Raw genomic sequence first — 15,148 nt, forward strand, 5'->3', positions numbered from 1 at the left:
AGAACAGAACCTCTTTAAAGGATAAATCACATAGGACCTATAAAACAAAAATACAAGTTAAAAGGCAAAAACAAAAACCAAACAAAAACAAAGGACACAGGCAACAAAGAGCACAATGAATGCAACAGTACCTCACATTTCAATACTAACATTGAATGTAAATGGGCTAAATGTTCCACTTAGAAAATACAGAGCTGCAAAATGGATAAGAACTCACCAACCAACTACCTGCTGCCTTCAGGAGACTCACGTAGCACCTGAGGACTCACATAAAGTGAAGAAGTGGAAAAAGGAATTTCATGCAAATGGACACCAAAAGTGAGCAGGGGTAGCTATTCTTATGTCAGACAAAGCAACTTTAAAGCAAAAGCTGTTAAATAAGACAAAGAGGAACACTATATAATGGTAAAAGACCTTGTCCAACAGGAAAATATCACATTTCTAAACATGTATGCACCTAACACTGGAGCTCCTAAATTTATAAAACAATTACTAATAGAACTAAGAAATGAGATAGACAGCAACACAATAATTGTGGAGGATTTCAATACTCCACTGACAGCACTAGATAAGTCATCAAGACAGAAAGTCAACAAAGAAACAATGGATTTAAACTATACTTTGGAACAAATGGGCTAAACAGATATATACAAAACATTTCATGCAACAACCACAGAATACACATTCTATTCAACAGCACATGAAACTTTCTCCAAGATAGACCGGCTCAATAAATTTAAGAAAATTGAAATGATATCAAGCACTCTCAGACCACAGTGAAATAAAACTGAAAATCAACTCCAAAAGCATGCAAATACATGGAAATTAAATAATCTGCTCCTGAATAAACATTGGGTCAAAAATGAAATCAAGATGGAAATTAAAAAATTCTTCCAACTGAAAGACAATAGTGACACAACCTATCAAAACCTCTGGGATACAGCTAAGGTGGTGCTAAGAGGAGAGTTTATATCCCAAATACCTACATCAAAAAGACTAAACGAGTACAAACTGACACTCTAACATCACACCTCAAGGAACTAAAGACACAAGAACAAACCAAACCCAAACCCAACAGGAGAAAGGAAATAACAATGACCAGAGCAGAACTAAATGAAACTGAAACAAAAAAAATACAAAAGATAAATGAAACAAAAAGCTGGTTCTTTGAAAAGATAAGTGAAATTGATAGACCACTGGCAAGATTAACCAAGAAAAGAAGAGAGAAAATCCAATAACCTTACTAAGAAATGAAACAGGAGATATTACAACTGACACCACTGAAATACAAAGATCATTCAACTATGAACACCTTTACAGAAACTAGAAAACCTAGAAGAGACGGATAAATTCCTGAAAAAATACAACCCTCCTAGCTTAAATCAGGAAACAGAAAATTAAAGAGAACAGAAAATTAAAGGGCATCCAAATCAGTAAAGAAGAAGTCAAACTGTCACTGTTTGCTGATGATATGATTGTTTATCTTGAAAACCCTAAGGACTCCTCCAGAAATCTCCTAGGACTGATAAAAGAATCAGCAAAGTTTCTGGGTCCGAGATTAATGTACACAAATCAGTAACTCTTCTATACACCAACAGTGACCAAGTGGAGAATCAAACCAAGAACTCAATCACTTTTATAACAGCTGCAAAAAAAATATTTAGAAATATACCTAACCAAGGAGTCAAAAGACCTCTTCAAGGAAAGCTACAAAACACTGCTGAAAGAAATCATAGATGACACAAACAAATGGAAAAGCATCTCATGCTCATGGATGGGTAGAATCAACATTTTGAAAGTGACTATACTGCCAAAAGCAATCTACAAACTCATTGCAATCCCCATCAAAATACCACCATCATTCTTCACAGAATTAGAAAAAAACAATTCTATAATTCACATGGAACCCAAAAAGAGCCTGCATAGCCAAAGTAAGAAAGACTAAACAAAAAGAAGAAAACCAGAGGCATCACACTAATTTCAAGCTATACTGTAAGACCATAGTCACCAAAACAGTGTGGTACTGGTACAAAAATAGGCACATAGACCAATGGAACTGAATAGAGAACCTAGAAATAAACCTAAATACTTACAGCCAACTGACCTTTGACAAAGCAAACAAAAACATAAAGTGGGGAAAGGACACCCCTTTCAACAAATGATGCTGGGATAATTGGCTAGCCACATGTAGGAGAATGAAACTGGACCCTCATTTCTTGTCTTATACAAAAATCAACTCAAGATGGATTAAGGACTTAAACCTAAGACCTGAAACTACAAAAATTCTAGAAGATAACATTGGAAAAACCCTTCTAGACGTTGGCTTAGGCAAGGATTTCATGACCAAGAACCCAAAAGCAAATGCAAGAAAAGCAAAGATAAATATCTGGGACCTGATTAAACTAAAGAGCTTTTTCACAGCAAAAGGAACAGTCAGCAGAGTAAACAGGCAACCCACAGAGTGGGAGAAAATCTTCATAATCCATACATCTGACGAAGGACTAATATCTAGAATCTACAACGAACTCAAATCAGTAAGAAGAAAAACAAACAATCCCATCAAAAAATGGGCTAAGGACATGAATAGACAATTCTCAAAAGAAGATATACAAATGGCCAACAAACATATGAAAAAGTGCTCGACATCACTAATAATCAGGGAAATATAAATCAAAACCACAATGTTTATACCACCTCACCCCTGCAAGAATGGCCATAATCAAAAAATCAAAAAACAGTAGATGTTGGCGTGGATGCGGTGAACAGGGGACACTTCTACACTGCTGGTGGGAATGTAAACTAGTACAGTCACTATGGAAAACAGTGTGGAGATTCCTTAAAGAACTAAAAGTAGAACTACCATTTGATCCAGCAACCTCACTACTGGGTATCTATCTGGAGGAAAAGAAGTCATTATTCGAAAAAGATACTTGCATATGCATGTTTATAGCAGCACAATTCACAGTTGCAAAATCATGGAACCAACCCAAATGTCCATCAATTAATGAGTGGAAAAAGAAACTGTGGTATATGATGGAATACTATGCAGCCATAAAAAATGAATGAATTAACAGCATTTGCGGTGACCTGGATGAGATTGGAGACTATTATTCTTTTTTTTCTGAGACAGAGTCCCGCTCTGTCGGCCAGACTGGAGTACAGTGGCACGATCTCGGCTCACTGCAACCTCTGCCTCCCAGGCTCAAGCAATTCTCTTGCCTCAGCCTCCCGAGTAGCTGGGATTACAAGCGTGTGCCTCCACGCCCGGCTAATTTTTGTATTTTTTTTTTTTTTTACTAGAGGTGGGGTTTCGCCATGTTAGCCAGGCTGGTCTCGAACTCCTGACCTCAGGTAATCCGCCCGCCTCAGCCTCCCAAAGTGCTGGGATTACAGGCGTGAGCCACTGAGCCTGGCTGAAGACTATTATTCTAAGTGAAGTAATTCAGAAATAAAAAACCAAACATCATATGTTCTCACTGATACCTGGGAGCTAAGCTATGAGGTCTCAAAGGCATAAGAATAACAAAATGGACTTTGGGGACTTGGGGGGAAGAGTGGGAGGGTGGTGAGGGATAGAAGACTACAAACGGTGCAGTGTATATTGCTTGGGTGATGGGTGCACAAAAATCTCACAAATCACCACTAAAGAACTTACTCGTGTAACAAATACTACCTGTACCCCCACAACTTATGGAAGAATTTAAAAAAAAAAAAAAGAATGACAGATTTATCTAATGGGAATAGAGGCTACAGGCTATACCTGGCTCTTATTTCAGCTGTTAAGCTAGGCTATGAGCGCTTTTAAAAGCAAGCTCCTTGGGGCATAGTGAGGTGTAGTTAATAGACAAGTGTGCGCACTGTGAAGTCATGCTGCTTTGGTTCTAATACCAGTTCCACCAATTATTAGCAGTGTGGCCAGAGGTATAGATATTGCTTAGCCTGTTTGTGCCTCAGTGGCATCATAGGGTAACAGAGATTATTATAGTCCCCACCCCATAGGGTTGCTCTGAGGTAATGATTTAATGGTCGTACCATTAGCATTATCTGGGAATCTGCTAGAAAAGAAAATTTCCAGGCTTCCTGAGTCAGAAACTGGAAGGCCCAGCATCAGTCTGTGTTTAATACACCCCCTAGACAATGTGACAATGCTGATTTGCATTAATGTTTGAGAACCATGGGCTTAACACATGGAAGTACTTAGCATAACACCTGGGACATAGGAAGTGCTCAGTAAGTGTCAGTAGCTTATTATTGCTGTTATTAGCAAGGGCACTCATCACTTCTAGAGTCTTGCGTGAGGAAGTTCAGCCCAGCTCCAGAAAAGAAAGGGTAGAGCGCCATTCTCATGTTCAAGTGACCATCTGGGTTCCCAAGGACTGGTCTGTCTTGTCTTGTTCACTGCAGAATTTCTACCCCCGACAGCAGTGCTCAGAACATAGTGTAGACTTGACTCACTGTGTGGAAATGACATCTCTTCTCACTCTGTCTCAGTGAGTAGAGTCTGGCTTTGAGAAGAGGAGGGGACTTCAACTCCTACTGGAAGCACCCCACATCTAGGGAGCATTCTTTGCTCACCTTGGACTTGTTTTCATACTCCCTTGTTAAGTAGATTGGGGTGTGTGGGGGTGAGTGGGTAGAGGGTTCCCAGGCCCCTGTGTTTATATTACAGTGTATTAATAAGAAAAGGACAATTCAAGAGAAAAGTGAAGAAAAGCCTTGTACATTACTTGAAAATGAATAACCAAGTGGCCAACAAACATGAAAAGGTGCTCAACATCATTAGTCTGTAGGAAAATGCATCTTAAAACCACAGTGGGATGCTACTACACATTCATCAGGAAGACCAAAGTAAAGGAGATGAAAAATACTGAGTGCTGAGGAGGATGTGGAGCAACTGAACTCTTCTATATAGCTACGGTGATAATACATTGATAAAGCCAGTTTGTTTGGAAATTTCTGCCAAAGTACATCCTATGGCCCAATATTTCTACTCATAGGTATAATACACCAATAGAAGTGTGTCAACATGATTCTCTGAAAGATAGGTGCTAGAATATTCATAGAAGCATTATATTTAATACCTCCAAACTGGAAACTACATGAATAAAGTTGTCTGCCAAGAGTAAAATAGATAAATCAAAAGTGGCATATTCACATAAAAGAATACTACACAGCAATGAGAATTAATGACCTGCCATTACACTCAACAACATAAAAGAATCTCATAATCTTGAGCCAAAGAAGCCAGACATGAGAGAATATGTATATACTGTCTGATTCCATTTAAATAAAGTTCAGTAGCAGACAAAAAAAAAAAAGCAAAAAACAAAAGACAAAAACAAATTGGGTAATTTTGATTGTTCTATCTTCAAGTTCACTGAGTATTTTTTCTTGCCATCTTTAATGTACTGCTAAGTTTACCCAGTCAAAAATTCATTTGATTAGTATACTGCTTAGTTCTAGATTTTTTTTGGTGTAAGTTTTATTTCTTTAAGTAGATTTCCTACCTGCTCACTCATGAAGATACAATTTCTTTAATTTTTTAAGCATATTTTCACTTAATTCTTCAAACATATTTATCATAAATGCTTTAATATCTTTAGTAAATCCAACATCTAGAGTTGAGTATGGGTCACACATTTTCATTTTTTTCTTCTCTGTCTCTTCAGTAATTTTTGATTGTATATTAAATTGCCAAATATACAATTAAGAAACTCAAGAATCTATTATCTTCTGCTGAAGACTGAATTTTTTTTCTAGTAGGCAGCTCACTTATTGATGGACCACCTTCACCCTGGGTAGACTTGGTTTTATGATTTATTTAGGGCGGATTCATGGAAAGTCCAGTCGTTTCCCCAGCCACTGTAACGTGGTGGCACTCAGCTTCCAAACTTTGTCTCCCCTCCCTTTGTCTCCCACTTCCTGATTTTTCAGGGATTGGTGTTGGGCTTTGTTACTGTAGTAGGCTTATGCCTTATTTTATGGTGTGGTCTCTATTCCTCAGGCTCAGATTTTCTGGTATCTTAGATGGATGTCTGGGATGTTAATGAGGCGTTAATGAGTTTCATCCTCTCTGGCTAGCCTGAAACTCCAATGCCCCCAACACTGCTGGAACCTCTCTTACCTTTGCTCTGATCTCAACTCTGTGACAGCTAGTAAGCCTCATCATATTGTCTATGCTACCCAAATGCAGCCGCATCCTCAGGCAAAGGCTTGTTGGAAACTCTCAAACAGGCTTCTGGGGGTCAGAGGGGGGTGTTTCCTGTACATCTAGGAACTGTGATTTCTTTCTTATCAGCTCAGTGGGATTGCCATGCTCTGCTTGGACTCTAGATCACTGTGTAGTGGTCAGGAAATTGTCCCCAAGCAGACGTCTGGGATAATCATGAGACTCACCTCATGAGTTTCCCTTCCCTATGGGTTCACAGAATTGTACTGCCTTTTAACCAGTGTCTGAAAACAATTACGTCATGTATTTTGGTAATTTTTGGTGAAAGGTCTAATCCAGGGCCAATTACTCCATAGAAGTCCTAGTATTTTTTTGTGTTAAACTTTCTTATTTTTTAAGGACCCTTTTAAATGCTGCCTCTTCTATGAAGTACTTCTTGATAACTGTAGCCAGAATTAATCTCTTTCTCCCTTCCATTTCTATGGCATTTTGTATTTCTTTTATCACAATGAGCCACGAATGGTATTCCTGCCCCTTGGACTGGTGCTTTGAAGGATGCCATCATTGTATTACACTTAAAACTGGTCTTTTCTGGAGTGACAGGATTAAGGAGAGACTATCAGAGTTTATGGGTCTGCTTTCAAGATCAGAGACCAGCACGACACTTTCCCACATACTGCACGTTTTTCTCCCCCACTAAAGGTAAGCTCCTTGAGAGAAAAGACTACACATTTTAGATCTTTGTTTCTGTGCCATTGTGCCTAGCGTAGTGCCTGACATGATGATGATGATGGCAACAGTGATATTACAATTACATCAAGCACTTATTGAGTACTTTCTATGTGCCAGGCGCTAGGCAAAAGCATTTTATTTAATGAACAAACATTTATGTGTCATTTACCCTGTGCCAAGCATTATTCTAAGCACTAATAAATATTGATCCATATACATGTATTATCTTATTTAAACCACACAAGAACCTTATGAAGATATCTGTTATTGTCTCCATTGTGTAGATAAGGAAACTGAGGCTTGGGATATTTGGGTAACTTTCCCAAATGCTCTCACATCCAATAGGTAACAGAGTAGAGCTAGAAAGAAATAATCAAATATTTGTTAAATTTCATAAAATTTACAGCTCTGCTTGGTAATATTTTATTCCACCTTAATGGGGAGTGTATTTTACAAAGACATAATGTGAACTCACCCTGCAGGGGTTAGTCTGGTAGCTCCAGCTGGCTGCATACCATATCCTGAACTAAGACATTAGTGCCAGGACTGAAAGTTTATGGAAAAGGAAGCCCTGTGGAGATTAATGGTCACCCTTCCACAAGCTTCCGTTTGATGGATGCTGAGTTGTCAGAGTGAGCAATGGCTGTGTGGCTGGACCCAGAATCACAAAGGCCCAATTCTTACTGATTGTTTGCAATCACTGCTTCCAAATTAGATTGTAGGCAAAACACCAGACTTTTTAAATCACCAGAGAAAATATTGTGTTTCTCCAAGAAGATGGATCACATAGTGAGCATGTAGTACTCACACTTTAATTCAGGTTTTATGGAGTTGTAAAATTCAGTAAGACATTTCAGTCTAATATATCAAGAAAAATCTCAATACAATATGTTTTTTCAAATATTTTTACCTTCTTCCTGGGGAAAAGAGTTGGGGAAAACTCCTGTGGTCAAAACAGACACTGCTGGGCTCCAAATTGAAGCAAGCTACCCACTGGAACATCTTTTACATAGCGTAAGGCCTTACCATTCCTCAACAGGGATAGATAAGAGCATTTTTGCACAGTAGAAGGAAGATATTTCCTTTTCATTATTATCATTTTTTCTAAATGCTAAACAATTTTGAGAGGAAGTCTGGCTGATTTCCAGGGCCCTAGAAAATGATTGCATTTGCTTCTTTTAAGTACCATTTCTGATGAGTTCAGCCAGTCCCAAGTCCCTACACTGTGGGGGATGCATCCTGGTGCTAAATTGATTCTGAAAGTACCAGAGACTCTGACAGCCCCTCTCCAGCATGTCCAGAATAGGCTAGTTGTAAGGCATTATACGATAATGATGCACTTCTTATACCCAAAATAAGAAGGCAACACATTCTTTATCCCTAATATTGTGACAAAAGTCAGAATGAGAGAGTGATGATGCTTGCACTCCGTTGCTGGTTCAAAGATCGACATTCATTTAAGGATGAAGAAATGTCATAGAAGACACTATTTAGAGAGTCAAATGCCTAGTTAATCTAGTATTTAGACACTCAGCTGAACTGTGAACAGTATTAAGGGGTCAGGATAGGTGATATAAGGTACAAGGCACCTTGGCAACTGCCTTCATGGTTGTCTTGTTTCCGTGTTACTTGAGATCTCCCGGTGATTTCAAACATCAAGTGACTGGATACTCCATTTGGGAATTATGCAATGAAGTTGGACATGAATGAGATTGAATAGCCTTCAACAGATTATTTTTATTATTAACTATCATGCATTTCCTGTGAATGTATTGGAGTAATATTTTAACTGAAGCTAAATATTTACTAAAGTATCTGGCAGTACAAATTCACCTTGATGCAGGATCAAATTTGGGAATCATTTATTTAATTTTTTTTAAAATAAAAGCTTAGTTTTTCTGTAAAAAAATTTTTAAAAAATTCTACACACCTACTTTTTGAGTTAAGGGAAAGTTCCTAGTCCATAAATAACTAGTAATAATTGTACTCCGAACTCATATTACGACCAACAAAATGATTCAAATGGAGAATAAAGTATCTCAAAAACCTAAGAGTGAAGAACTAGAAACCATTTTAAATATAATTTATAAAATGTTCTTCCCTTTAAAAAAGTACCAGGTTGTCTTTTTGGACTTAAAATCGTTGCTAGGTTATGATACCAAATGTGCTTCAATTCCTGTCTAAATCGGGAAGTATACAGCAGGTGTGACAGCATGACTAATGAGCACAGAATTGGGAGATTGGGTACTGATTCCAGAGGTGCCTCATACTAGTTGTGTGAATGGAGGAAGTGACATGGCCTTTCAGGGTCTCGATGCCTGTTCCTGTAAACAAAGGGGCTCCAGGCACTGCTTTATTTTATTTAATACTCACAATAATTTTATGGGATTACATTGGTCACATTTTACAGAACAGGGAACTGAAGCTTACAGAGTTCAAATGCTTTGTTCAAAATTAAGTTGTAGTTTTGCACCCATAAGCATAAAGAAAATTGGCTCTTGGTGTTGATTTCAGGCACCAAAAACCAAATGTACACAGGCTGAATGATCTAACACTGTCCTAGACACCCACATGTAAGAACAAATCTATCAGAGTCCAGCCAATTCTGATCGTTTCTACAGCCTTTGGGTGGTGTTTTGAAATAAAGTCTGTAACAGAAATTGCGTGGGGGAGGATTTCCAGTGAAACTGCTCCAAGGAATGCCTATGTGCAATGACTATAAATGCTGTTTGGCATCATTTAAATTGAATTGGGAATGTGCTGAATTGGGGACTGACTAAAATGTTAAACCACTTCACTTGAACTATGTTCAAGGACAGGGCTGAAAAAAAAATTGTAAAGCCAGCTGCAAAGGGGAAAGACATCAGGTTGCCTGCATCAGCTGATGGCAGCTTGCCCTGGTCTCAACTCAACTTGGCAGCTCTCCAGTCCCAATGGGCAGCTACAGTGAGGACAGGTGAAGGTCTGAATGGGCAGCCTCAGGAGACAAAGATCCTGCAAAGGTGGCAATTTATTGCTGTCAGCTGGAAATCACCACCAACCAGAGTAAATATTTCTTAGTAATGTCATCTTTTAGCAATTAATTACATTTGTGAACAATATTGAGACATGTGCCTTGTCACTCTGAACACCCTGCAAACTAAGACACAGCAACCCAGTTTTAATGGGTTCAGTCTGCAATGTCTGTGAAGACTCAGCTCAAGAAAAAAAGATGTAAGACTTTTGAGGTTTCCATGCACCTTGTAGTTTCATCTTGATTAATTCATTTATTCATTAATTCAACAAATATTTTCTGAATGCTCATTACATGTATATAACTCTTATAGATTCCTTGAGATACATCAGTGAACAAAACAAAGATCCCTGCTCTTATAGAAATGAAATTCCAGCAATCTACATAATTAAGTGGAAAGAGCACTAGTTTTGGAGCCAGACAGCTCTGGGCTCTAAAGTCAACTTCCCCACTTCTTACCTGCATGCCTTAATTTGGCTGACCTTCTCTTTTCTCATGGGTAAAATGTGGGCCACAATTCCAGCTCACAGAAATGCTGTGAGGTTTGAAACACATAATGGGGGAAGCAGTGCTTGGAACCTGAAAGGTTCTAAGTAAATACCACTTCTTTCTGCTTTATCCTGGCAGTGGTTTCCTTCCCAACACATGGCCATATTCCTTGCTGGAAACAGGCCAGCTACACACCATGGACTTTGTCCTGTGCCTGCTCTGACATCAAAATGCATCCACTCTATCCTTAGTCATATTTCTAGCTACAATTGACCAGAATCTAGCAAAAATCAAGGGCGAAGGCTTTGGACTGAATGTATGGGCACCCCTGCCTCCTCTCACCCCACTCATATGTTGAAGCTCTAATCCCCACTGTACTGGTATTAGAAGGTGGGGCCTTTGGGAGGTAATTAGTTTTAGATGAACTCATGAAGGTGGGTCCACCATGCTGGGATTTTCCACTTATAAAAAGAAGAAGATACCAGAGCCCTTCTCTTTAGCCATATGAGGATAATGGCTAAAAGGCTAAAAGGTTATGTGGATAACTAGGAAGAGGGCTTTGCCAGACATCAAATCTGTCAGCACTTTGCTCCTGGGCTTTCCAACCTCCAGAACTGTGAGAGAGCAATGTCTGCTGTTTAAGCCAGTCAGTCTATGGGATCTTGTTAGGGTAGCCTGAGGTGACTAAGACAGTGAGCTTGACATCAACTGAAAAGAAAGGATGGCCATTGGTGCTGAGACATCCATTTTGATGGTTTGAGCACAGGGTTCCTCCCTGATAATCGCTTGGCAACTTCTTGGGAATCTCTGCAGCCATGTCTCACATCTGAAGGTATCTCTCAGTGGGTAGGAACTTAAAGCCCCAGAAGACCACAGACAATACTCTCAGGTCATGCCACACAAAGTGAAGTTTTTCCTTCCCAGAGTTCTCTGCTACTGTCAAACTTCCTTCTGTTTGATTATGTCGTGGTTTATTATTATGTTTTCTAATGGCACCCAAAATTCTAACTCACTTCTGGAATATCATTTTTTCATATAAGTTAAAACATCTACCCCTTTGTACCTTTCTAACACTCTGAGGCTTTGTTTCCATTTTTTTCCTTCTTTGAGTTTTTGTCTAAACTAAACAAAAACTAACAATGACCAAGAAATTTACTAATGACCTCCTGTGTAGCTTAATCAATAGAGGATTATACAGAATAAAATTTTTTTGAGAATTTCAGGTATCATTATGTAGCTTTCAGGTGATAGGAGTTTTTATTGTATTATATTTTTAACAATGTCTTACTGCTACAAATGCACTATATAATACATGCACATGACAGAAAACAGACAATACAAATAAGGACATAAAATAGTTTTTAATTCCAAGACCCTGTGATAAAGGTCATAGTCATTTTTGAGAAATACTATAGTTATTAAAGATTGGTAACCTACTTCCTTATCAATCTTTTTCACTTCCCCTTGTCATTAGATAGTTTATATAACATTTTAATAGCTTCACAATATGCTGTTATATGGATTACCATAATTTAACCAACCACTCTCTCCCAGCCTCATCTTTTAGACTTATTTCCACACATTTTTGGCCATCACTAACAACATCACAGTGAGAAGCTATGTAGCTACACCTTTGATCTCATCCATTTTATTTCTTTAGGATAACTTTCTAAAGGCAAAATGATGGGTCCAATAATACAGCCAAATTCTTATAGATTCACGTATTCATTTAACAATATCTTAAGCACCTAATAATTTTTAGGCAGCAATGGCCACCAGAGAAAAATCATGTGAAAAAGGCACACAGCCTCCACGTTTGCTACGCTTACAGTATCATGAGGTTGTCCCTTTGATTCTCCTGCCAACAGAGAATGAGCGTCGTCCTTCACCTGTGAGGGTATACCTACTATGAGTTGGCTCCTTCCAAAATGCCTTCAAAAATGTGAATTTTTACATTTGTTGTATTTCAAAATAAAAATGTTCCCAATATTTTAACATCATTTTTTGTAAAATGCCGTAATGAATTATGATCAGTGCATTGGGATGGATACTTGCAAAATGATGCCTTTTACCAAAGTTCTTGAAAGTGATCATGGACTCCTTAAAATCAATGAACTCGTGTTTTTATGTCTCAACTTCATACATGTTTTATGCTTAAAACCTCATGTGTTCCTTGTTTTAGCATCTATGGTGTCTGGAGCAACCCAGACTTGTTCTGTCTGAATGTCACTGCATTTGTGTCCAAACAAATTAGTGTCTGAAATGGCTCAAATGAAAATACATTCCCACATGGGCCAGGGGACTGGACAAGATGGCTTTGAAATGCCTTCTAGCCCTACTTTTTTCTCCTCCTTTGTCATTTTAAAAAGAAAAAAGGGTCTTCAAAAAGAACAAAATCTGTCAGAACTCAGATAAAAATTATTCAAAATCATTAACAAAGAAAGAAATCTATCTTCCCTCAACACAAAGAGATCTCAAAATGTCATACTCAAATCTACAACATGGAAAATCTGAACCATTGAAAATCATACATTAACTATGGTTATAAGATAGTCATCTCATCTCAGCAGCTAAAAATACACAAGGACAGTCAGAAATATTGCCATTTTTTTATAGCCAGTAAAATTGCTTCATTTTTACTCCACAAAGAAAAAGGCTCCCTTGAACACTGAACAATATTAAATTTGCTGTTAACTCCAGTTATGCCAGATTCTGTTTTAAGGTCAGTATTTCTCCCTGCCTCTGCCAAATTCATCCCTGGCCACAGTGCCTTTCACTGCACTAGCTCTGAGTCCTTTGACATTCTTGGGTAACTCCAGCTCACTATCCTAAGATCTAGGTCTTTTTTTCTCACCTCCATTCTCGCACAGATCCTAAACACCCTTTAATACCCATCCATGCTTATTTAAAGGTGCCAAGAGTACATGATTGAGTTCATGGCAGTGTCCTGAATATGGCTTTTGTGGTGAGAGAATAGAGAACAACATATTTTCCTGATGCTTTCAAGTAAGGCTCTGGGCAAAAGATTTGACCTTGGGAAGAAGAGGTGTGAAGTCAGTAGCCTCAGCATCAGAAGTGATAATAGTGAGACGGGGGAAGTACTATGCCAAAGGATCATTTACTTTAGAAAAATGACACAAACCTGCAGAGCAGCCACTAAAATATGTTCTCAGCTTAGGAGCCTTATATTGTGGGGAACTATAAACATTTATTTTCCTAAAACCCCTAAATCACTTTTAATTAAATTAGAGCCAATGTCCTTCAAAATACTCCTGAGGTGATGTTCTCCCATGAGGTTGCCTAAATTTGAACCAGTATGTTGTATACATGAATGAGGTTAAAAACTTCCTAGGGACCTTGCGGAAATGCAGAATCTCCGGCCCTACTTATCCATCAACTTCATTCAGGAGGTCTGGGCTGGGGCCTAGGTAATTCTGATGCAGGTGCTCTCTAGAGATAAAATGTCTGGGCCTGGTGCATGATTTCAGACACTTTACAGAGAAAGTTAGACTTACATTTGGTGAAATGTGAGGGTTTGGAAATCATGTAGGATTTTAGCATAACGATCCTTAAGTCATGTGGTTAGGTGAGTGCTCAGGCAAAACAAGGGTAATAAACCTCCATATTCTATGACCAGATTTTTTTGCAGGGGAGCATCTCATCACGCAGAAAGGGACAGTTTTGGTTCTGAGCTAACCGAACGTCTCAGACAATTGAAAATATACAAATCTCTAGTAGGTTAAATATGACAGGAGCAAGTGTGTGGGTAATGAATTACAGGTATTAAAAGATTTTGGTGCTTAGCATGAATGCTTGCTTACTTAGAATTCTTGTTACAAAAGAGAGTCTGAGGGCGGATAGATAACACATGTGAATTAAAGTGTAAAGAAATTGCTTCGTTTCTGGGTCGTCTTGCCCTTTCTGAGCCCTTTTGAGGCTTCCATCACCTATAGGATAAAATCCAGACTCCCCAGTCTCACATGTCAAAGCATTATCAATCAGACCCCATTTACTTACCCAGGACCCTACCGGCCCCAACACCCCAAGGACCTTTCTACTGCTCTGTGCTATAGCCCCATCCACCGTAAGAAGTCTCCCAAACCTATTCTCCTGGAGAACACACCTTGACCTCTTGGGCCCCTCATCCACTCTGTACTCCCACCTGAACCCTGTTCCATAGCAACCATCATTATCATTTCTCAGACCTCAGTTCTAGAGCTACCTCCTCTTTGAACCCTTTCCTGATCCTCTCGGCCACCCCCACTGACTATCTGAGTTTTCACTAATAACCCCACAGCAACCTAAACCCACTCTATATTGATTTCCAGGGCACATGGCTGCATTTATTTGTTTACTGGTCAGTCGCTCCTTATTAGATGACTACCCCTCCTGGGCAGAAGACAACTCACATGGGTGGTGGCATCACAAGGCCTTGGATTTGGGCAAATATTGACTAAATAGCTGATAAATTTATTTTTTATTTTTTTGAGATGGAGTCTCGTTCCGTCGCCCAGGCTGGAGTGCAGTTGGCGCCATCTCGGCTCACTGCAAGCTCCGCCTCCCAGGTTCACGCCATCCTCCTGCCTCAGCCTCCCTAGAAGCTGGGACTACAGGAGCCCACCACCACCCCCGGCTAATTTTTTGTATTTTTAGTAGAGACGGGGTTTCACCGTGTTAGCCAGGATGGTCTCCACCTCCTGACCTCGTGATCCGCCGGCCTCAGCCTCCCAAAGTGCTGGGATTAC

The sequence above is a fragment of the Homo sapiens genome, chromosome 5 (genome assembly GCF_000001405.40).
Source record: "Homo sapiens chromosome 5, GRCh38.p14 Primary Assembly".
Taxonomy (NCBI): Eukaryota; Metazoa; Chordata; class Mammalia; order Primates; family Hominidae; genus Homo; species Homo sapiens.